General features: G+C 44.7%; 1 pseudogene; it reads right to left on the bottom strand.

Annotated features, from left to right (window-relative positions):
• Positions 1-241: 241 nt before the first annotated feature.
• PWWP2AP1 (PWWP domain containing 2A pseudogene 1) lies at positions 242-2043 on the bottom strand (annotated as a pseudogene).

Here is a 2491-nt window from a genome sequence, read left to right as displayed (position 1 = left end):
ACCTTACCAGCCCTTACAGCAATCCCCAATATGCAGCCTGTGTCCATGTTCCATAGTCACAGGCTATACTTTACATAGACACACACACACATGGTATTAGGTACAAATAACAATTAACAGTCCTCATGAAAATTCAATTTCAATTTGAGGCTATGGTTCCTATGCCTTGGAATGGTTTTAGACTTCAAAACTAAAAAATATTGCTAAAATCTCACTTCCTTAAGACAAAATTTTGATTGCATGTTCAGTTTAAGCTTCTGAGTCTAAAATTTGCTATAAGGTAAGTATTTCTTAAAATAGCCAACTAAGTGCAATCTCTCTCCAATTTGGCCAAGTTTGTAGTAGAAATTATTCCTAAATAGACTGAAAATCTATGATGACTTCCAATGGTCTTGCCTACCTTACTGTGTTTATGTTTCAAACTGTCAATGGAGCCTTTACTTCAGAGCCTGTACTTCGGAGGTCAGCTGCTTGGCAGTCTTAGCCGCCTCTGTAATAGCCTTGCAATACAGGCCCCTTCTCTTCTTATTCAAGTGTGTCTGGAAGTTTTCTAAAAAGTGAGAAAGGTACAAAAGAGAAAAAAATATGCTGGAGAATTGAACCATAAATTACAGTCCTCCTATATGAATAAAAGGCCATTATCTTCAGTAAGAACAGGGGTTGGCACCAAGGGAAGTCATGTATCTTGGCCGAAACAATCTCCCCAACACATATGGTCCTGCCATGTGGTGTGATGCATTTAGAGACAATTTTGGAAGATTCATTTTCAAGGAATTACTGAACTTTTTCTCTTCCTTTGACGAGAAAGAAGTGAAGGATTTGGAAGGTGCATGCATACTGCCTGGAGGCAAATGAAAGCTTTCTGAGGAGCTACATTCAGAGTTGGATGATTTCAAATCATCTATGCTATCAATGCTACACACTGAAGCACGGGAAGAGTCAGATTTCTTTTGGTTTAAGGCCAGAGATAATGCTTTTGCTGCCCTTTTTGTCCAATGTCTATGGTTCATCTTGTTCACCAAGAGCATGCATTTCAGTTGGGTCCTGAACCTCTCACTGCTGGCCTCTTCCAGGCCTTTTCAGGGACTCTGATTTTCAGAAGGCCCTCACCTGGTGAGCGCATAGAGGTGCAGCAAGACTGGAGTTGAGGACCACTTCTCCACTCCACACTTTCTCGAGTCATTTTCTTCATTCCTGTACCTCTGTGGTTTTAAATGAAACCCAGGCAGAAGGGCATCTGACTAGGATTCTGATATTGACCCGTGAAATGGACTTTTGAATGTGCATTTTTGGAGTAGAGGTTTCAGTTTGCTTCTTTCATGCCATTTCCTTGGCAATTTTTGAGAATTCCCTGAGCTTTTGCATGATCCATGTTCTTACTCTAGAGCAGTTTGTTATTACTTAACTGAGCTTTTGACCTATCTGCCTGAGCAGAAACATTTACTACTCTGCCTCTTCTGTGAGCAGTATCTGAAACCATAACCACAGTATTTCTTCTCTGGCTTTCATTTTGGGTTTTTCCATCCACTTTATGGCCAGTTTTTAGTTTTTTGTTCACAGTAGGTACATTTTCATATCTCTGTTTTTTACCGTCATATTTAGCAGTCACTTCCATTACTACCTTTTCTAATTTTGTTTTCAACAACAGCATTTTTTTTTAAACATTTATCGCATAGGACTTGCCTAGGTCATAGTTTAATGGGATTTATTATTGAAGTGGGTTCTTCCCCAGATATTTTCGTTTGGGCAGCTTAATTTTCTGAGGAGAGGGCTGAGGTACTGATTGGTTAGATGGATTCTGATAAAGCAGGGAGGATAAGGTGGTCCTTCGTGGGAAAGAGGTGATGGTTTGGAAGTCCACAGGCTTTCAGGCAAGCTTAGCACATGAGGCAGGGCAGGAGAAAGGTCACTGGGAACAGTACCATGAACTTCACACTTGACTTCCGTCCCTTCTTGGAATGTATGACGTTGAAGCTACATGGCTTGTGAGTTATCTTTATAGTCCCTTTTGGGAAATACTGTCACAGGGATGCGGGCCCAAACAGCATCACCAGAAGAGCTGCATATGTTTCCCACCAAAAGTTGGGCTATAGCACCAAATGTTTCATGATCTCTTTTGAACAGATCCACGAAGACCCCGGAGAAGAGCTTCTACCCGACGGAGGACGACAAGATAAGCACATCCTCAATGCAGCGTGACCTGCACCTCCGAGCCCGGGGTCAGCTGCCACACCAAGGAGTCCCCACCTTGCCGCCCCCGCCGGGCTGCGGGAGGAGGCAAACGGCGTCTCCTAGCGCTCCTCAGGAGCTGGGGGTGTTTCAGAGGAGGTGCAGGAAAAGGCGGGGAAGGTCAGACTCTTGAGAGGGGTGGCTGCTGCGGATCCCTCACCCTCTCCAGCAGCTTCCCCTCAGCCTCCAGCTCCGGCCCCGCCACGTCCGGGCTGCGGGCAAGCTCCCCGCAGCGGGGGCAGCAGCACGGCCTGAGGAGCGT

The sequence above is a fragment of the Homo sapiens genome, chromosome 13 (genome assembly GCF_000001405.40).
Source record: "Homo sapiens chromosome 13, GRCh38.p14 Primary Assembly".
NCBI classification, from domain to species: Eukaryota; Metazoa; Chordata; class Mammalia; order Primates; family Hominidae; genus Homo; species Homo sapiens.
Note: the sequence above shows the minus strand (reverse complement) of the source record. Positions and strands in the feature narration are given on the sequence as shown.